The sequence below is a fragment of the Homo sapiens genome, chromosome X (genome assembly GCF_000001405.40).
Source record: "Homo sapiens chromosome X, GRCh38.p14 Primary Assembly".
In the NCBI taxonomy this organism is placed as follows: Eukaryota; Metazoa; Chordata; class Mammalia; order Primates; family Hominidae; genus Homo; species Homo sapiens.
The window spans coordinates 46,496,113-46,518,863 of record NC_000023.11 but is presented as its reverse complement, the minus strand read 5'-3'; the positions used below and the strand labels follow the sequence as shown (position 1 = coordinate 46,518,863).

The 22,751-nt window shown below is 39.6% G+C and overlaps 1 protein-coding gene, 1 non-coding gene and 1 pseudogene across 5 annotated transcripts in view; 1 reads left to right on the top strand and 2 right to left on the bottom strand.

The window, feature by feature from the left end:
* ZNF674 (zinc finger protein 674) overlaps positions 1 to 21,139 on the top strand; it is a 47,697-nt gene extending 26,558 nt beyond the window's left edge. For 2 of the 4 annotated variants that reach the window (NM_001146291.2, XM_011543943.4), the window contains exon 6: positions 17,532 to 21,139. In NM_001146291.2, the coding sequence (NP_001139763.1) occupies positions 17,532 to 19,021 (1,490 nt within the window). In that variant the 3' untranslated portion in view covers positions 19,022 to 21,139. Of the gene's footprint in view, positions 1 to 17,528 lie in introns of all 4 variants that reach the window. The other 2 variants (NM_001190417.2, NM_001039891.3) reach the window with 1 other exon arrangement.
* Positions 864 to 1,341, bottom strand: RNU6-50P (RNA, U6 small nuclear 50, pseudogene; annotated as a pseudogene).
* On the bottom strand, positions 996 to 1,098 carry LOC124900488 (U6 spliceosomal RNA). Its single transcript, XR_007068419.1, has one exon. It is a non-coding gene; the product is annotated as a U6 spliceosomal RNA (small nuclear RNA).

Sequence of the window (22,751 nt, the reverse complement as noted above, 5' to 3'; positions counted from 1 at the left end):
GCTGGAGTGCAGTGGCGTGATGCGATCTCAGCTCACTGCAAACTCCGCCTTCCGGGTTCACACCATTCTCCAGCCTCAGCCTCCCGAGTAGCTGGGACTACAGCCACCCACCACAATGCCCAGCTAATTTTTTTTTTTTTTTTTGTATTTTTAGTAGAGACGGGGTTTCACCATGTTAGCCAGGATGGTCTCCATCTCCTGACCTCGTGATCCGCCCGCCTCAGCCTCTCAAAGTGCTGGGATTACAAGCATGAGCCACCGTGCCTGGCCTATTTATTTATTTTTTAAGATGGGGTCTCACTATGTTGCCCAGGCTGATCTTGAGCTCCTGGGCACAAGCAATCCTCTTGCCTCACTCTCCCAAGTAGCTTGGACTACAGAAGTGTGATGTCATGCCTGGTTGTTATTTTTTAAAATCAGTGGCTGCTGTAGATACTAAGATAGTCACACACAACCTTTCACATTCTACTTATAGTTTAATACTTCAAGTAATATGTAGAAGCTTTACAACAGTATAGATATCTTTAATTTCTTTCATGTTACAGTTTTCGAACATATTACATCTAATAACATTTTAAATCCCTCAGACAGTGTTATATTTTTTTGCTTTCAACTATCATATATATCTTAAAGAATTCAAAAGGAGAAAAATTATACATTACATTTACCCATATATTTTGCCATTTCTGTTGCTCCTCATTTATTCCCAAAGTTCCATGTTTCCCTCTGATATCATCTCCCTTCACCTGAAGAAGAACCTACAGCATTTCTCTTAGAAGAAGTCTGCTGTTGACAAAAATCTCTTAATTTTCCTTTACCTGATAATTTTTACATTTCGTCTTCTTTTTTTTTTAATTTTTATTTTTATGGGTAAATAGTAGGTATATATGTTTATGGGGTACATCAGATATTTTGATACAGGCATATGATGTGTAATAATCATATCAGAGTGAATGGGGTATCCATCCCCTCAAGCATTTATCCTTTGTGTTATAAAAAAAATGAAACCCTTGACAAATTTGCACGTCATCCTTACACAGGAGCCATGCTAATCTTCTCTGTATTGTTCCAATTTTAGTATATGTTCCAATTTTAGACAGTGAGCACTTGTCTTCATTCTTGAAGGGTGTTTTTGCTGGATGTAGAATTATGGATTGATATTTCTTTTCCTTTAGTATTTTTAAGATGTTCCATTGTTTTCTGACCTCCACTGTTTCTGATGAGAATTTTGCAGTCCTTGAATCCTTGTTTCCTTGTAGGCAGTGTACCTTTTTTTCCTCTGGCTGCATTAGAAATGTTTTAAGTTGGCTTTCCAGGCTTTCGATTATAATGTTTCTGGTGTTTCTTTTGAGTTTATATTGATTCTGGTGTGCTGTGCTTCTTGAGTCTGTAAATATATGTCTTTTTCCAAATATGGGAAGTTTTTGGTTATTATTTTTTGCAATTTTTTTTCTACAGTAGTCTCTTCTTCTCCTTCTTTGAGGACTCTAATAACATGAACATTGGACCTTTTGGTATTGTCCTGCAGGTCCCCAGAGACCCTGTTTTTTTTTCCAATCATTTTTATAATTTTTTTATTTTTACAGTTTCTGTTTCTCTGTTGAGAACTTCTATTTATCCATTCATTTCAGGTGTTTGCCATTACCTCATGGAGCTTAGATGTCATAACTACTTAAATGTCTTTGATATTTCCAGCACCTAGGTTATTTCAGGATTGGCATCTGTTATTGTCTTTTTCCCTGGAGAATTGGTCACATCTTTGTGATTGGTTTTTATGTTGAATAATTTTGGATTCCATCCTGGATAGTGGTGGACTGTGTCGTTATTGCTTTTCTTTTTTCTTTTTCTTTTTTTTTTTTTGAGACAGAGTTTCACTCTGTTGCCCAGGCTGGAGTGCAGTGGCACAATCTCAGCTCACTGCAATCTGTAACCTCTGCCTCCCAGGTTCAAGCAATTCTCCTGCCTCAGTCTCCCGAGTAGCTAAGATTACAGGTGCCTGCCACCATGCCCGGCTAATTTTTTGTGTTTTTAGTAGAGACGGGTTTCGCCATGTTGGCCAGGTTGGTCCTGAACTCCTGACCTCAAGTGATCCACCCGCCTTGGCCTCCCAAAGTGCTGGGATTACAGGCAAGAGCCACCGCGCCCAGTCCATTATTGCTTTTCATCTTTATCAGGTAATAAACCACTAGGTCTGTCTCACCTTCTATGGGTGTCAGTTCCAACCAGTTCAGTTTTCAAAGCCTTTTGATCTGTCGTGTGCATGTGCCATTTAGGGATTAGAGACTCGAGTGGTGGGTTCAGTCTTTGTGCAGTGTTCAAAGCCTTCACTGCCCTGCTTACATTTGTCACTCAGGTGTTAGTCTCAGACTTGAGCTGTGGCTTAAATCTTAGTTCAGTTCTCAAGGCTTGGTATGTAGCTTTGCTTTCTCTTGAGTGAAGAGTTCCTGGATGAACTCAGGACTTCTGTATGTTCATAAGTCACTGGGACCTGTATTTGGGTCAGAGTCTTGAGAGAGAATATGAGGGATAAAAGGGGAACCCACTGATGTATGAGTTGCTTCTCTACTTTTTGGCTCACCTCCGTAGTCTTCCTGGTTTTGTTGACTTGTCAGAGTCCTCGGGTAGTTACTTTATGTATTTTGTTCAGAGATTTTTGTTGCAATAATCAGTAGGAGAGGCTGTAGTAGACTTACTCTATTGTGGCTAGAAATGGAAACCTCGATTTCATTCATTCTTGCTTTTATCTTTTTTATTTCTGTCTTTCTGCTAGTTTGAATTTAATTTGCTCTTTTTCTAGTTTCATAAGGTGGATGCTTAGGTCATCATTTGAGACCCTTCTTTTCTAATATAAGCATTGTGAATGCCATAACTATCTCTAAGTACTGATTTAGCTATTTTAAACCCTTTACTGTGGTTTAATTTGGCATACAAGAAATTATACGTACTTAAACAGGGATGGGCACAGTGGCTAACACCTGTAATTCTAGCACTTGGGGAGGCTGAGGTGGGGGGGATTGCTTGAGACCAGAAGTTCAAGACCAGCCTAAGCAACATAGCAAGACCCCATCTCTACCAAAAATAAAAAACATTAGCTGGGCATGGTGGCACATGCCTGTAGTCGTAGCTACTCAGGAAGCTAAGGTGGGAGGATCACTTGAGCCTAGGAGTTTGAGGTTACAGTGAGCTATGATTGTTCTACTCTAGCCTGGGTGATAGAGCAAGACCCTGTCTCCAAAAAATAAAAAATAAAGCAAACAGTTTGGTAAGTGTTGACATGTATATACCCAGGATCACATCACCACAATCAAGATAATAAGATCACAGAACAAGCTGGGAAGTATTCCCTCCTCTTTCCAATTCTTTGGAAGAGTTTATGTAGAATTGTATTCTTTCTTCCTTAAAAGTTTGATAGATACTGGGTTATTCAGATGATCTATTTCTTGTTGAATGAGCTTTCATAATTTGTGTCTTTCTTTTCTCCTTTTTTTTTTTTTTTTGAGAGAGTCTCGCTCTGTCACCCAGGCTAGGATGCAATGGCACCAACTCAGCTCACTGCAATCTCTGCCTCCCAGGTTCAAGTGATTCTCGTGTCTCAGCCTCCCGAGTAGCTGGGATTACAGGCGTACACCACCATGCCTGGCTAATTTTTGTATTTTTAGTAGAGATGGGGTTTTGCCATGTTGGCCAGGCTAGTCTTGAACTCGTGACCTCATGTGATCCGCCCACTTAGGCCTCCCAGAGTGTTGGGATTATACGCATGCACCATCACGCCTAGCCAATAATTTGTGTCTTTCAAGGAGTTTATCAGTTTCGTCTGTCAAATTTATTAGTATAAAGTTGTTCTTAATATTCCCTTATCCTTTCAATTTCTGAGGGTCAGTGGTAGTCTTATTTTAGTTTTAAAGTAAGTCTAATCACATATAGTATTGAAAACAATAAAGTTCATTTAAAGGAAAAGCTCTCTCCCAGCAAATACCTGCTTCAGGCTGAAAGATTTTAGTGGCAAAAAGAACATGCTCAGTGTTTTCTTTCTTTACTCTTCCAGCTAGCTCTTCTCCCTTCCCTTTCTCCCCCACTCAACACCTAGGCCATCTCTGGCCCTTGAGTGTAGTGGGTGAGGAAGGAAGGAAGGAGATACAATGGGCAAAAAAAGTTTGACCTAACTAACAAAGTTGTAATCTAATACTGATGCCCTCTCTATGTTGCAGATTCCAAAGACTGATTCTTCCTGTTCTTGACACTTTATGGTTTCCTTGGAGATGTCCTAGCTGGAGTCCCCTGACTGCAATTTCCTTGATGCAGGAAGGGCCACTTTCCCAACCAGTTATTTAATATATCCCCGGGCCCCATGGTGTACCTTCAGTCTCCTTTTGCTGAGGTCACCTTGATGCTAGCAAAAAGCCCTCTTTCTAAAGTAACCCAGCCTGTTCATGTCCAGAGGGTCCACATCTGGCTTGTGGAGTGTGTGTGATTGTGGGAGTAAGACCCACAGTTCACCCCCACGCAACCTCTTCTCTACTACCACAGACTGCCTCAGCCTGTCATTTATAGTTTTTCTACATGAAAGACAGGTGCCAAGTTCTCTGTGTCCCCTAAAGTCTAGTGGATGTACATCGAACAGGTCATCTCTTTGAAATCCTTCTCATCAGATTGGGGTGGGGTGAACACACTCCTCACTCACCTATTGGAGAGAGAAAATGCCGCAGCTTTCCAATGGCTATCTCTAAAGAAATTATTTTCCTTAGCGTCTTTAACCTTAACACTCTTATACTTTGTTTTTCTTCTTTTTAAAATTTTTTGAGAGAGGGTCTCTCTCTGTTGCCTAGGCTGGAGAGCAATGGCGCCATCTTGGCTCATTGCAGCCTCAACCTCCTGGGCCCAATTGATCCTTCTGCCTCAGCCTTCAGAATAGCTGAGACTACAGGCACATGCCACGACACCTGGCTAAGTTTGTTTGTTTGGTAGAGACAGGGTTTTGCCATATTGCCCAGGCTGCTCTTGAACTCCTGGACTCAAGTGATCTGCCTGCCTCCACTTCCCAAAGTGCTGGGATGACAGATGTGAGCCACCACACCCGGCCAACACTCTTATGCTTTTAAAGGGTATGTTAGAGATAAAGGACATTAAGTGGTTTTGACCTATTCCTTTTGAGTCCCGTAAAGGCCTGCGGACTGGGAAAATACTTGATAGTATTTTATTACCAGTCTTTGAAATAAAAAGAGCTGGTTTTAACATCATGTCAAATTAATCCCCTAAAAGCATGGATTGCAGCCAGGTGGGCAGATACAGCTTCGTGAAATGTATGGAATTCAGCTTTTGAATAGGAATCATCAATGTTAAAATGCAAAGCTCTATGACCTTATGTGGCAAAATTAATGTTACAGATAGTGTGTGATTTAGACTCGTGTACACACACACACAGAATTATAGATTTTGAATTTTGGTAATATGGCAAGGGTAAATTGGTATATTATTGTAATTTTCACTTCCCTGATTACTATTGAAAGTATTTATCATTTCATATGTTATTGACTAGTTAGATTTCCTCTTCTGTGGCTTACCTGTTCATATTCTTTTTTTGTTTTTGTTTTTGTTTTTTTTTTGAGACGTAGTCTCACTCGTTGCCAGGCTGGAGTGCAGTGGCGCGATGTCAGATCACTGCAACCTCTGCCTCCCGGGTTCAAGTGATTCTCCTGCCTCAGCCTCCTGAGTAGCTGAGACTACAGGTGTGTGCCACCACGCCCAGCTAATTTTTGTATTTTTAGTAGAGACAGAGTTTCGCCATGTTGGCCAGGATGGTCTCGATCTCTTGACCTCGTGATCTGCCTGCCTCGGCCTCCCAAAGTGCTGGGATTACAGACATGAGCCACTGTGCCCAGCCACCTGTTCATATTCTTTATTCATGTTTTTGTTGAGTTTGTCTCTTCTTATTGCTTTATATGAATTCTTTGTATATTCTAGATTTCAATTTTGTGTATAGTCAATATCTTTCCTTAGTCTAGGTTGTTTATGGTGTCTTTTTGAGTAGAAGTTTTAATTGTAAAATAATCAAATGTATCAATTTTTAGTTTGCTTTTTGTGTAATTTTTTTTTTTTTTGTGAGATGGAGTCTCACTCTGTCACCCAGGCTGGAGTGCAGTGGTGCCATCTCGGCTCACTGCAACCTCTGCCTCCCGGGTTCAAGTGATTCTCTTGCCTCAGCCTCCTGAGTAGCTGGGACTACAGGCATGTGCCACCATGCCCAACTAATTTTTTTTATATTTTTGTTAGAGATGGGGTTTCACCATGTTGGCCAGGCTGAACTCGAACTCCTGACCTCAGGTTATCCTCCTGCCTCGGCCTCCCAAAGTGCTGGGATTACAGGCATGAGCCACCATGCCCGACCCTTTTTGTGTAATTTTAAGTATTTTTTTTGGGGGGCTGAGCACATAAAAATATTTTTATATAATTTTTTAAAAATTTAAATATTTGCTGTTTATTTTCTTAAAACCTGCCTGGAATTTATGTACTTATTTATTTAGAGACCCAGGCTGGAGTGCAATGGCGTGATCTCGGCTCACCGCAACTGCCACCTCCCAGGTTCAGATGATTCTCCTGCCTCAGCCTCCTGCGTAGCTGGGATTACAGGCATGTGCCACCACGGCCGGCTAATTTTGTGTATTTTTAGTAGAGATGGGGTTTCACCTTGTTGGCCAGGCTGGTCTCAAACACCTAACCTCAGGTGATCCTCCCGCCTCGGCCTCCCAAAGTGCTGGGATTACAGGCGTGAGCCACTGTGGCGCCCGGCCAAAACCCAGTTGCTCTGCTGTGCCCAGGCAAGCACCCTTTTTTTTTTTTTTTGAGATGGAGTTTCACTCTTGTTGCCCAGGCTGGAGTGCAATGGTGTTATCTTGGCTTATTGCAGCCTCCACCTCTTGGGTTCAACCAATTCTCCTGTCTCAGCCTCCTGAGTAGCTGGGATTACAGGCACATACCACCCTGCCCAGCAAATTTTTGTATTTTTAGTAGAGACAGGGTTTCGCCATCTTGGCTAGGCCGGTCTTGAACTCCGACCTCAGGTGATCCACCTGCCTCGGCCTCCCAAAGTGCTGGGATTATAGGCATGAGCCATTGCGCCCGGCCTGTTGTACCATTCTTATCAATTAATGCTGTTAAGAGCTAATAGGCTTTAGTCCCCTTATCTCTTTTGATCCTTTGGTCTCCCATAGGAATTTTAGGATTCGTTTGTTGAGTTCCAAGGAAAACTCTGGGATTCCAATTGCAATTGCATGTGTTTAGAAATGAGTTGGGAGTGGGTTGGGAATTGGCATCTTTATACTATTGAATTTTCCTTTCAGTGAACTCTTACTCAGTTATCCTTTTATGTCATTTAATAATGTTTCAAATTTTTTCTCAGGAAGATCTTGTGCATTTTTTGTTGAATTTCTTCCTAGATACCTCTGAGTTATTGTTGCATTTGTGATTGGGATCTTCTTTCCTATCACATCTTCTAATTGGTTAATATTAGTATATGAGAATGCTAGTGATATTCATAAAATCATGTGTACAGAAATCTTTCTGAAGGCTTTTATTAATACTAATCTTTTTTAATTCTCTTCGGTCTTCTATGTGAATAATTATCTTTATAAAGGCAATTGTCTTTTCCAATTATACATTTTATTTCTTTTTCTTCTCTCAATGAATTAGGACCTGTAGTACAATGTTTAATAGATACAATGATATTGCATTCTTTGTTTCTGATTTTAGTGGAAATAATCATGAAGACAATGATTGTAATAAAATAATAAGCAGCATTTGAATGCTTGCCATGTGCCACAAATGCATTGTTCTGTATGCTTTGCACATATTAAATAGTTGAATCCTCCCAATGACCCTGTAAAGTAGGCTGGTTGTTATCCCTGTTTTATATATGAAAAAAACTGAGGCACAGAAATGATGTAACTTCTATAGCTTTCACTATTAAATATGATATCTGCTGTGGTATTTTGAAAGATATCTTTCATCAAGAGCCCCTTTTATTAGTCCTATTTTGTTAATAAGACTTTTGTTTTGTTTTGTTTTTGTTTTTGTTTTGAGACAGAGTCTCGCTCTGTTACCCGGGCTGGAGTGCAATGGCACGATCTCGGCTCACTGCAACCTCCGCCTCCTGGGTTCAAGCAATTCTCCTGCCTCAGCCTCCCAAGTATCTGGGATTATAGGCATCCACCACCATGCCTGGCTAATTTTTTATATTTTTTAGTAGAGATGGGGTTTCACCGTGTTGGCCAGGCTGGTCTTGAACTCCTGGCCTCAGGTGATCCACCCACTTCGGCCTCCCAAAATGCTGGGATTACAGGCGTGAGCCACCACACCCGGCCTAATAAGACTTTTTAAAAAATCACTAATGAGTGTTGTATTTTCTTGAATGCTTATTTTCTGCATATGTTGAGAAGACAGTTTTTCCTCCTTTAATCTATTAATGTGGTAGATTACGTGAATAAATTTCTGATATTGAAGTGTTCTTGTGTTCCTGTGCTAAACTCTACTTAATTGTGAAGCATTTTAAAAAATTAATAAATTTATTATTTTTTAATTATTATACTTTAAGTTTTAGGGTACATGTGCACAATGTGCAGGTTAGTTACATATGTATACATGTGCCATGCTGGTGTGCTGCACCCATCAACTCGTCATTTAGCATTAGGTATATCTCCCAATGCTATCCCTCCCCCCTCCCCCCACCCCACAACAGTCCCCAGAGTGTGATGTTCCCCTTCCTGTGTCCATGTGTTCTCATTGTTCAATTCCCACCTATGAGTGAGAACATGCGGTGTTTGGTTTTTTGTTCTTGTGATAGTTTACTGACAATGATGATTTCCAGTTTCATCCATGTCCCTACAAAGGACATGAACTCATCGTTTTTTATGGCTGCATAGTATTCCATGGTGTATATGTGCCACATTTTCTTAATCCAGTCTATCGTTGTTGGACATTTGCGTTGGTTCCAAGTCTTTGCTATTGTGAATAATGACGCAATAAACATACGTGTGCATGTGTCTTTATAGCAGCATGATTTATAGTCCTTTGGGTATATACCCAGTAATGGGATGGCTGGGTCAAATGGTATTTCTAGTTCTAGATCCCTGAGGAATCGCCACACTGACTTCCACAATGGTTGAACTAGTTTACAGTCCCACCAACAGTGTAAAAGTGTTCCTATTTCTCCACATCCTCTCCAGCATCTGTTGTTTCCTGACTTTTTAATGATTGCCATTCTAACTGGTGTGAGATGGTATCTCATTGTGGTTTTGATTTGCATTTCTCTGATGGCCAGTGATGGTGAGCATTTTTTCATGTGTTTTTTGGCTGCATAAATGTCTTCTTTTGAGAAGTGTCTGTTCATGTCCTTCGCCCACTTTTTGATGGGGTTGTTTGTTTTTTTCTTGTAAATTTGTTTGAATTCATTGTAGATTCTGGATATTAGCCCTTTGTCAGATGGGTAGGTTGCGAAAATGTTCTCCCATTTTGTAGGTTTCCTGTTCACTCTGATGGTAGTTTCTTTTGCTGTGCAGAAGCTCTTTAGTTTAATTAGATCCCATTTGTCAATTTTGGCTTTTGTTGCCATTGCTTTTGGTGTTTTAGACATGAAGTCCTTGCCCATGCCTATGTCCTGAATGGTAATGCCTAGGTTTTCTTCTAGGGTTTTTATGGTTTTAGGTCTAACATTTAAGTCTTTAATCCATCTTGAATTAATTTTTGTATAAGGTGTAAGGAAGGGATCCAGTTTCAGCTTTCTACATATGGCTAGGCAGTTTTCCCAGCACCATTTATTAAATAGGGAATCCTTTCCCCATTGCTTGTTTTTCTCAGGTTTGTCAAAGATCAGATAGTTGTCGATATGCGGCATTATTTCTGAGGGCTCTGTTCTGTTCCATTGATCTATATCTCTGTTTTGGTAAGTCAAATTGTCCCTGTTTGCAGATGACATGATTGTATATCTAGAAAACCCCATTGTCTCAGCCCAAAATCTCCTTAAGCTGATAAGCAACTTCAGCAAAGTCTCAGGATACAAAATCAATGTACAAAAATCACAAGCATTCTTATACACCAATAACAGACAAACAGAGAACCAAATCACGAGTGAACTCCCATTCACAATTGCTTCAAAGAGAATAAAATACCTAGGAATCCAACTTACAAGGGACGTGAAGGACCTCTTCAAGGAGAACTACAAACCACTGCTCAATGAGATAAAAGAGGATACAAACAAATGGAAGAACATTCCATGCTCATGGGTAGGAAGAATCAATATCGTGAAAATGGCCATACTGCCCAAGGTAATTTATAGATTCAATGCCATCCCCATCAAGCTACCAATGACTTTCTTCACAGAATTGGAAAAAAACTACTTTAAAAAATTAATTTAGAATTGATTTTACTAGTATTTAACCTATGAATTTTGCATTAATGTTTAGAAGTAAAATAGATCTTAGATTTTCTTTTTTTGTACTTTCTTCTCTTATTCTGGTATCCAAGGTTATACTAGCTGCATAAAATAAACTGAGTACTTTTCCTTCTTGTAATTTTTGAAACTGTGACTGAAATTTAGTTTCATGAGAGTTTGATACTAGTCATTTTCAAAACCATCTGGATATGGCAAGACTTGATTATGGAGTCAGTTTTTATCATTTAAAAAAACAATTATTGAATTATTCAAGCTTCTTGTATTTTCTGTCAATTCTGGTCATTTTTCTAGACCATTATGTTTCATCTGAGATGTCCGATTTACCAACCTAAGGCAGTATTCTCTTGATTTAAAAAAAAAAACTCTTAGTTTTATTAACGTAGGTCATGCCTGAGGTTTAAAGAATAAAATAAATGTGGTGAAACTGTAAAGAAAGTGAAGGGCATGATAAACATAAAATTTAGGATATTGATTATCTGAAAAGAAAGAAAATGAAACGGGCATATGAAGAACTTCAAAGATAACTATAATTAGTTTTAATGGGTGGTGGATACCCAGGTATTATTTTTGGTATTACTATTCTTTATAACTTACATATATTTTACAAAACTTATTTGAAATGTTTCACTGTGGAAGGTTAAGATTGAACTCACCACGCTGCTCCTGTCACCCACCCAAAGGCATGCGTATGTACATAGACTTCTTGTTTCCCAATAGTCCCAATGTGATTATACCATAAATTTGTTTTCCATCAGTACTATTTTTTACAATATGACTATACAGTTAGCTCTCTGTATCTGCAAGGGATTTGTTCCAGAACCTCCATGGATACCAGAATCCATTGATACTCAAATCCCTGATATAAAATGGCATGGTATAATTGGCCCTCCGTATTTGTGGGTTTTGATCCTTGGTTGGTTGAATCCACAGACGTAAAACCCATGGATACAGAGGGCTAACTGTATATATAAATACTATACACAGCCAAGCCACATAGTAATCTATGATTAATTTACCTTCCCTGCATAACTGTGTTCCTTTGGTTAATAATTATTTTTTTTGAGACAGAATCTTGCTGTGTTGCCCAGGCTGGAGTGCAGTGGTATGGTCTTGGCTTACTGCAGCCTGCAGCTACAAACTCCTGGGCTCAAGCGATCTTCCCACCTCAGGCTCCCGAGTAGCTGGGACTATAGCTGTGCACTACCACACTCAGCTAATTTTTTAAGTTTTTCATAGAGACGGGGTCTCACTGGACTGAGAGTCTAGGCTGGTCTCAAACTCCTGGACTCAAGTCATTCTCTTGCCTCAGCCTCCCAAAGTGCTGGGATTACAGGAGTGAACCACTTCTCCTGGCTTGTTTTGTTTCTTTCATTTGTTTCTTTCTCCATATACTTATCACCAGTTGTCTAGAGTGACTCTGAGCGCTTCTGGAGATATCAAGGGTTTCCTCAGTGTCATATCCCTGAGTTTTTCTAGAGCCTTCTGACCTGCTCTCATCTGGGTGGATTACCCTCATTCCTTCTTGTACAGCTACCATCCTGACATTGCTCTTCAGTGTCACTCTGGGGATTCCCTTCACCCTCTGCATTGCTGGGTTCCATATTTTCTTTATGCCATGCCCCCTTCCTCATTGGTTGGAGCACAGTCTTCAAGTACTTTCGTAAGAAAGGATGTAGGTCCATGGGAGATGAAGTTTTGAGATTTTTGGATGTCTACAAGTGTTTGACTCCTAATGGAGAGTTTGGCTTGAAGTAGAGTTCTAGGATGGAAATGTCTTTCCCTTAGACTTTTGAAGGCATTGCTCCATTGTCATCTAATTTTCAGTGTAAAGCTATTCTGATTATTGATACTTGATATAATTTTTTTCTCTGTTTCAGCTTATAAGATTTTACCCCCTTTATCTCAGGTGCTCTGACATATCCCCATATGGGATCACTGCCACCAGTAGTTCTGGGTGCCTGATAGGAAATAAATCCCCACAGGGATAGTTTTTTTTTTTTTTTTCCCATGCAAAGCCAAGATGCTACAGGGCCAGACAGCTGCACTGCACATCCAAGTGGCAAGCTAGGCCTTTTTTGTTAAGCTCCTTTCACTTTGTCTGTGGGCAAGTCCAGTTTGACCCACTAAAAATAGGCACATCATACCAGAAAATCATCAGCCTCTAGTGTTCGGGCATCCAGACTCCCAGAAGAAAAACAGGTGTTCAGTGCCCTAGGCAGGCAAAACCATCATATCAACATAGGGAATATTTCACAAGCCAAGTTCCCAGACTTTAGCCAGGAGCCAGCCCTGTGAGCAGGTCCTTCTAAAGATCAGTTCTGCTGTGTTAACACTTTCCTACAGGTTACCTTTACTGGTGCTCTTTATTTCTTTGTGTGGATTTGAGTTACCATAGAGTGTCCTTTATTTTCTTGGAGCTGAGCTTTAAGTTAGATCAAATAGCAACAGCTGTCTGGGGATAGGGCTTTTGGTAGAGCTCCAAAACAGTTCATCCCCTTGGGTAGCTGTGAGGCTACCAGTTTTCATGGAGCTGGGGAGCCAGTGGGAGAGCAGGAAGAGTAGTAGTAGTGCCAAGTGAACCATGACCTGGCTGTTCTTAGTGAGGTTTACTAGTTTTTTTTTTCGTGTGTGTGTGTGTGTGTGTGTGTGTGACAGAGTTTTGCTCTTTTAGCCCAGGCTAGAGTGCAATGGCACAATCTTGGCTCACTACAACCTCTGTGTCCCAGGTTCAAGCGGTTTTCCTGCCTCAGCCTCCTAAGTAGCTCGGATTATAGGCGCCTGTCATCATGCCTTGCTAATTTTTGTATTTTTAGTAGAGACAGGGTTTCACCATGTTGGCCAGGCTGGTCCTGAACTCCTGACCTCAGGTGATACATCCGCCTCGGCCCCCCAAAGCGCTGGGATTATAGGCATGAGTCACCACGTCTGGCATAGTTTTTCTTGAATAAATGATTTTTAATTGATTGTTTGCCTTTGGTTAATTTCTAAAGTCGTGAAATGATTGATTTTGATAATTTTTGATTTTGCCAGTATTTTCATTACTTTTTGGGGGAAGAGGATTTACTGAGGTCCTTCCTCTCACTCTGTCATTTCAGAAGTCCAGCCTAAAAGCCTTTCTTTTAAAACTGCAAAAAAGTACAGAAAATCATAATTTTAACAAACACTCTTGTACTTCCTTCCCAGTATTAGCAAATATTAACATTTTGTCATTTTTTTAAAAATAAAAGAAACAGGCCAGGCACGGTGGCTCACGCCTGTAATCCCAGCACTTTGGGAGGCCGAGGCGGTCATATCACAAGGTCAGGAGTTCAAGACAAGCCTGACCAAAACGGTGAAACCCCGTCTCTACTAAAAATACAAAAATTAGCCAGGTGTGGTGGTGTGCACCTGTAATCCCAGCTACTCAGGAGGCTGAGGTAGGAGAATCTCTTGAACTCGGGAGGCGGAGGTTGCAGTGAGCCGAGATCCCACCACTGCACTCCAGCCTGGGCGACAGAGGGAGACTCCATCTCAAAATAAATAAATAAATAAATAAAATTAAAAAAATAAAAAGAAAAGAAAAGAAACAGAGGTTTACAAATAAAGTTGAAGTCCCATTTTTCCCCTCCTGAGGCCTATTCCTCTTATCTCCTCCCCAGGTAAACAGTATCATGAATTTTGTGAGTATCCTTCTAAACTATGTTTTTATACTTTTGCTACATATATTTGTACCTGTAATCAATACAGAATTCTTTTTGTAAAATTACCAGATTGTTACACTCAAATTATAGGAATCTTGGCCAGGCACGGTAGCTCACGCCTGTAATCCCAGCACTTTGCGGGGCCGAGGCGGGTGGATCGCATGAGGTCAGGTGTTTGAGACCAGCCTGGCCAACATGGTGAAATCCCGTCTCTACTAAAAATACAAAAATTAGCCAGGCGTGGTAGCAGGTGCCTGTAATCCCAGCTACTCAGGGGGCTGAGGCAGGAGAATTGCTTGAACCCAGGAGGCAGAGGTTGCAGTGAGCCAAGATCACGCTACTGTACTCCAGCCTGGGTGACAACAGCGAGACTCCATCTCAAAAAAAAAAAAAATTATAGGGATCTTTCTGCAACTTGCTTTCTGTGTTCAGTATTACCTTTTGAGCTTTATGCTGATACTTTAGATTTAGATCATTTATTTTAACTGCTGTGCTAGCGGAAATATGAGTGTCATAGTTCACTTTCCATACCTTTATTGGTGGATATTTGGTGGTTTCTAAAATTTTGTTGTCATTCTTGTACATGTTAAAATTTGCCATAATTTCCCTATGGTATGAACTACAAGTGGAATAGGTAGTAAGGCATGTGTGTGTATGTGTGTATATGTGTGCATGTGTGCACATGTGTGTATTTTTTTTTTGAGACAGGGTCTTACTTTGTCACCCAGGCTAGAGTGTAGTGTTGTGTACATGGCTCACTGCAACCTTGACCTCCTGGGCTCAAGCAGTCCTCTTGCCTCAGCCTCCTAAGTAGCTGGGACTATAGGTGTGCGCCACCATGCCCAGCTAATTTTTTGTATTTTTTTGTGGAGACGGGTTTTGCCATGTTGCCCAGGCTGTATATTTTCAATAATACTAAATGTATTACCTCTTATCCGTCATAAGTGGAATCAATTTGCCATGTATATTTAAGAGTTTCACATCTTTGTAAGTGAAAATTGCTTTATAATATTCTCGTCTTTTATCCTTCTTTGCTTTTGGCATATAAGCATTATCTTGCCAATTTTATTTTGGTTACTAAGTGCCAGATGTAGCTTTTCCCGTAATTTTATTTTCAACACATCTCTGTCATTTTGCCCTAATTGTCTTCTGAAAACATGGAGCTGATTTTTTTAAAATGCAATTTGATATGGTTGGCATTTAACTAATAGGGTTAATATATAGTTATTGTGAAATTACTATATTTGTATTTCTTCTTTTAGTATATTTTCTACATAGCCTGCTTTTCATTACTTCTTTTTTCTTGCCTTTGCTGGATTTTCCTTACCCGCTTTTTCCTCTTTAGTCATTATCTTTCTGAATTACTGAAGTATCAAGCATTATTCTTAGCCAGGTTTTGTGTATGGCAAATTCTTTGTCTTTTCTTGTCCAAAAATGTCTTTGTCATCTTTCTTTATGATAATTTATCTGGGTATAGAGTTCTAAGATGAAAGCTTGTCTCGGGACAGAGAAGATATTATTCTTTAATCTTCTGCCTTCTTTTTTGAAGAAGTCTGATGTTGATATAATTATTTCTTTATAGGGGATATTTTTACTTATTCATGGTAGCTTACAATATTTTCTTTCTGACTTGAAAGCCTTGTGGCTACACTGAACTTTGTCTAAGTGCAGACTTGTTTATTTTCCACACTCAAGGACTTTGGACATTCAGTGGTAGGATACATGCCTTTCTTCCATTTTAGAAAAGAATCAGTCATTGTATCTTCAAATACTGCCTAGATCAGGGGTCCCCAAGACGACTCCCATACTCAGATATTCTCTAGAGAAATTCATGGAACTCAGCATATAGTTGTAATCATGGGTAAGATTTATTACAGTGATGTAGTAATGATAAACAACTGGATTATAAGGGAAAAAGGCACAGGCAGAATCTGGAGGCATCCATGTGCAGGCTTCCTTATGCTGTCTGCCTGTCATGAATACAGAGCACACTCTAACTTCCTTATGCTGTCTGCCTATCATGAACACAGAGCACACTCTAACTCCAGTATCAAAGATGCACCAACATGTGTGATGTTTATGCCAAGGGAAGCCTATTAGAGACTAAGTGATTTCCCAAGATCTGTCATCTAATTTATTAAATCTGTCTTATCTGTGGCTAGTCTACTGTTCAACCTATTTAGAGTTTTTTTTTTAAATAATGCCTACCTTAAAAATACTCATCTGTCTTTTTTCAAAATTTCCTGCTATTTCCTTCATAGTCTAGTTCTTACCTTATCTTTGTACATTTGAAATATACTTATTTTAAAGTACAGATTGTTCTATTATCTACAGTTCTAGGAATGTGAGTATATTTAAATGTATCGGTCAATTCTTTCTAATGATGGATCAGCTCCTTCTAAGGTTTTAAATTTTCTTTTCTTTTTTTTTTTTTGAGACGGAGTCTTGCTCTGTCACCTAGGCTGGGGTGCAGTGGTGGGATCTCAGCTCACTGCAACCTCCGCCTCCCAGCTTCAAGCAATTCTCCTGCCTCAGCCTCCTGAATAGCTGGGATTACAGGCACCTGCCACCACGCCCAGCTAATTTTTGTATTTTTAGTAGAGACAGGGTTTCACCATGTTGGCCAGTCTGGTCTTGAACTCCTGACCTCGTGATCCACCCACCTCGGCCTCCCAAAGTGCTGGGATTACAGGCGTGAGCCACCGCGCCCAGCCAGGTTTTAAATTTTCTACTGTGAACTCCTCAATGAGAGTTGGTTTTCCCTAGAAGTTCTGTGATGTCTTCAGCTATAAAGACATGAGTGTGTGTATGTGTATATATATATATATATAACTGCAAGGGCTCCCATGCTTGTTAAACAGGAACTAGAAGGATTCCCCACTAGCCAGAGAAATTGGCAAGAAGGATGTTATATATAAGACATCAAAAGCCTAATTCTGTAACTCAATCCAAATGATTACAAGCATAGTACAGAGCCTATAAACTGAAAAATTTTTAAAGTTGGTCTTGTTATTGGTAGGTTCATAGCAGTGGCAACCTTTCATATATGTATACACACACACACACACACACACACATATATATACAATTATATGTATATATATATATAAGCTTTAAGCCAAAATTACACTCTGACTTTGCTGAATTCCTGAACATTTGTGCCTTATGGTCCCCTTCAAATCCTCAAGCTGTTCTGTTTACTCTCTCACTTTAAATTCCCACTTCATTTTGATACCTAATACATTTCTTTTCTTGATTTTGAGCCTGGGACATGGGAAGGGTCCTCCATCCACATCAGCTCAAGTCATGTTGATAGGAGTTCACTGCTTGGGCATTTAGGGATTAGTTATTTCATAAATTATAGTGGGAAGACAAGTTTGATGATTCATTGCATTTTCTTCTAGAAGTCTGGGAAGTTGACGAGCAGATAGATCACTACAAGGAAAGCCAAGACAAATTTCTGTGGCAAGCTGCATTCATAGGCAAGGAAACACTGAAGGATGAAAGTGGTCAAGAATGTAAAATATGTAGAAAAATCATTTATCTCAACACAGACTTTGTTTCTGTAAAACAAAGACTCCCTAAATATTATTCATGGGAAAGGTGTTCAAAACATCATTTAAACTTTCTTGGTCAAAATAGAAGCTATGTAAGAAAGAAAGATGATGGATGTAAGGCATATTGGAAAGTATGCCTCCATTATAATCTTCATAAAGCTCAACCTGCAGAGAGATTTTTTGACCCTAATCAACGAGGGAAAGCCCTCCACCAAAAGCAAGCCCTTAGAAAAAGTCAGAGAAGTCAAACTGGGGAGAAACTCTACAAATGTACTGAATGTGGAAAAGTGTTTATCCAGAAAGCAAACTTAGTTGTACATCAAAGAACTCACACCGGAGAGAAACCTTATGAATGCTGCGAATGTGCAAAAGCCTTCAGCCAGAAGTCAACCCTCATAGCACACCAGAGAACTCACACAGGGGAGAAGCCCTATGAATGCAGTGAATGTGGAAAAACCTTTATCCAGAAGTCAACTCTGATTAAACATCAACGAACTCATACAGGAGAGAAACCATTTGTATGTGACAAATGTCCAAAAGCCTTTAAGAGTTCATATCATCTTATTAGACATGAAAAAACACACATTAGACAAGCATTTTATAAAGGTATTAAATGTACTACGTCCAGCCTTATATATCAAAGAATTCACACAAGTGAGAAACCTCAGTGCAGTGAACATGGGAAAGCCTCTGATGAGAAGCCCAGTCCCACTAAACATTGGAGAACTCATACAAAAGAGAACATTTATGAGTGTAGTAAATGTGGGAAAAGCTTCAGAGGAAAGTCACACCTCTCTGTTCATCAGAGAATTCATACAGGAGAGAAACCCTATGAATGTAGTATATGTGGGAAGACTTTCAGTGGAAAGTCACACCTCTCTGTCCATCATAGAACTCATACAGGAGAGAAACCTTATGAATGCAGAAGATGTGGGAAAGCCTTTGGGGAGAAGTCAACCCTTATTGTACATCAGAGAATGCATACAGGAGAGAAACCCTATAAATGCAACGAATGTGGGAAAGCCTTTAGTGAGAAGTCACCACTGATTAAACATCAGAGAATTCATACAGGAGAGAGACCCTATGAATGCACTGACTGTAAAAAAGCCTTCAGTAGGAAGTCAACTCTCATCAAACATCAGAGAATTCATACAGGAGAAAAACCTTACAAATGTAGTGAATGTGGGAAGGCCTTCAGTGTGAAATCAACTCTCATTGTGCATCACAGAACTCATACAGGAGAGAAACCTTATGAATGCAGAGACTGTGGGAAAGCATTCAGTGGGAAGTCAACTCTCATTAAACATCAGAGAAGTCACACAGGAGATAAAAACCTATGATTATACTTGAGAGTGGGATAATTATACTAGTAGTTATTTGTCATTTGACTATTACTAGTCTCATTATTTGTCAAATAATCATGGCGAGTAATCTTATAAATGTCCAGAATATTGGAAATTCTTCATATGTTAATGTTCATTTAACTTAATACAAAGTACAAAAGTATAATTCCAGAGGTGTCAATAAATGTGATCAGTTTTTTCACCCAGAATTCTTCACCCAGGAGTGAAGAACTGTATGTCAAATAATTCAAAAGGGGCAAAACTGAATGTAGTTATGTGGGAAAGCCTTCAGAAATAATTTAAATGGCACTGTTTATCAGAGTATGTATGCCGAGGAAAACTAAGAATTTAGTGAGCTTATAAAACCATGGTAGCCAGGCGTGGTACGTAGCTCACACCTGTAATCCTAGCACTTTTGGGAGGCTGAGGTGGGCAGATTGCTTGAGCTCACAAGTTTGAGACCAGCCTGGGCAACATGGCAAAACTCTGTCTCTACAAAAAATACAAAAGTTATCTGAGTGTAGTGGTGCATACCTTTAGTCCCAGCTACTCAGGAGGTTGAAGTAGGAGGGTGGCTTGAGCCCAGGAGGCAGAGGTTGCAGTGAACTGAGATCGTGCCACTGCACTCCAGCCTGGGCATTATAGCCAGACCTTGTCAAATAAATAAATAAACAAACCCATGGTATAAATGAGAGGAATCATGCTCTATATTCTTTTATTAATAGAGACAGGGTCTTGCTATGTTGCCCAGGCTGGTCTTGAACTCGTAGCGTTAATTGATCCTCCCACCTTTGCCTCCCAAAGCACTTGTATTATAGATATGAGCCACCACACTTACCATGTTCTTTACCAAACATTTTGTGGAAGAGGTGTAGAGGTGGCAAACAATTATAAATTTAAGATATGTTCACTGTGGAGTAGAGTATGATTATTTATTTATTTAGAGATGGAGTTTCGCTCTTCTCGCCCAGGCTGGAGTGCAGTGGCACGATCTTGGCTCACTGCAGCCTCTGCCTTCCAGGTTCAAGTGATTCTCCTGCCTCAGCCTCCCAAGTAGCTGGGATTACAGGCACCCACCACCACACCCGGCTAATTCTTTTTTTTTTTTTTTTTTTTTAGTAGAGACGCAGTTTTGCCATGTTGGGCAGGCTGGTCTCGAACTCCTGACCTCAGGTAATCCGCCCGCCTCAGCCTCCCAAAGTGCTGGGATTATAGGCGAGAGCCACCACGCTCAGTGAGTATGACATTTTTAAAAGAACAGTATAAAGCATAAAATATCCCATGTGGGGCAAACTCCCAGATTATTTTCCTAAACAAATAGAAAAAATGCTTCCTGAAATAGGGTAAGAGAGGATGAGTCATCAGGATCCCTGAAACAAAGATCTCAAACAGGAGACCTTACGTATATTATTCATCAATATCTTCAGTGCAAAAATGCAAAGCCATTACAGAAAGGGCACATAGTAAGCTTTTACATACTTTCCTTAGGAACAGTGCTTAGAACTTAAAATTCTCCATGTTTTAATAAAGAGTAATAATTTTATGGTGAAGCAATATAAGATTTAAAATTTTCAGAGTATCTTCCATAACAGCAGTATTATTTAAAGTAGTGAAAAAATAAGACAATTTAATATCCAATGATAGATGATTAAAAATTGGTATGTCAGGTGAAATAACATGCACCAATTAAGACTACTGGCAAATTTGGGAAAATGTTCGTGGTAAATCATTAGGTAAAAAATATTATAAAACAATAACCATATGATTAATATTGTACAAACAGGAAGTATATGAACCATTATATCAGTGATTCTGGGTGGTTGACATATAAAAATTTTGTGATGAGTAAAGTTATATGCACATATAAGTATAAATTTGTATTTATTTAAGTATAAATTTGTATTCACCTATTTCATAGGTGAGTGTGTGTGTATAGATAAACACATGGAACAAAAAGTTAGGTATATCTGTGTAGTGTGGAGGGAAAAAGCTAGGAAAGAAATACACCAAATTATTAAGTAAATTGGCATTTGAATGTGGGGATTATTGATGTGTAAAAATTTTTTTGATTGTAGTCTCCAGAAATCACCAATAAAGTATATCGTTTAAAGTGTATATTACGCATGCTTATTTTCTTTTCCCATCCATTTTGCCACTCAGCTTTGTCTTTAATATGTAACATCATTCTCTTCTTAAAATGACCCCATTTTCACATATGTATACATATTGCCTATTTGTTTTCCATATGATTGAGTTTACAGGTTTGAGTGTGTACATAGTTGACCCTTGAACAACATGGGTTTGAACTGTGTATGTCCACTTATATGTGGATTTTCTTCCATATGTGCCACCACTGAGACAGCAAGATCATGTAAGATGTGACTTGGTCCTCCTTGCCTTCCACTATGATTGTGAGGCCTCCCCAGCCACATGGAACTGTAAGTCCATTAAACCTCTTTGTTTTGTAAATTGCTCAGTCTCGGGTCTGTCTTTATCAGCAGCATGAAAATGGATTAATACAGCTTCCAAATCCTAATGGATTGTACTGTGACACACAGGGACTTGGGATAGATTTGGAAATTCACAGCAGCCAGGTGCAGAGCTTTTAGTAGAAAATTATGTGCCAAGGAAATCAGACTTGAAGTTCAGATTCCACCAGTGATGATGGGCCTTGTTAAATACCACAGGCTTTCAGCTGGAATCTCTGAAGGACTGTACCTAGGAATTAGGAAGGAGTAAACATAGACCAGATCTTAAGATTGATACCACACCTTGAATGAGCTCACTAACTGAATTCAGGTAATTTGCTCCTGCTATAATTACCTTCAGAAACTAAAGCTTGGCTGTGTGTGGTGGCTTATGCCTGTAATCCCAGCACTTTGGGAGGCCAAGGTGGGAGAATTACTTGAGGCCAGGAATTCGAAACCAGCCTCACAATATAGTGAAACGTTGTCTCTACAATAAATAAAAAAGTAGCCAGGTGTGGTGGCTCACACCTGTAGTCCCATTTACTCAGGAGGCTGAGGTGGGAGGATTGTTTGAGCCCAGGAGTTCAAGGCTGCAGTGAACTATGATTGTGCCACTGTACTCCAGCCTGGCCAACAGAGCAAGACACTGTCTCTAAACAAACAAAAGAAACAAAAGCTCATCTAGAGCTTCTACAATTTCTTATGCACAATGGCATTCAATCAAAAATTGCCAGGTATACCCAGAGTCAGAAGAAAAAAGTGGACAATAGAAGCAGGCCCACAGGCCTTTCAGATATAAAAGCTATGAATCATGGATTCTAAAATAATTGAATAATATGGTCAAGGAAATATATAACATTCATAAGAAAATGTGAATTATTTTCAATAATCATTTATGCTTATTTAAAAATTTTCCTGGAGTTTATTTTCTTGTTTGTCTAGGGTCTCAAATATACCATCTAATTTATGGAACTTCCCTTTTCTTTGGCATTACAATTCTGGATAGTTATTAACTTTGAGGGGTGGGACTGGATTAGAGAAAAGGTACTGGCTCCATAGCAAGCTAGAAACTTCTCTATAGAAAAGTTATCTGCAGAGGATGATATTGCTTTGCTTCTGATATGCTTTGGCTGTGTCCCCACCCAAATCTCACCTCAAATTGTATCTCCCACAATTCCCATGTGTTGTGGGAGGGACCCAGTGGGAGGTAATTATATCATGGGGCCAGTCTTTCTCGTGCTATTCTCGTGATAGTGAAT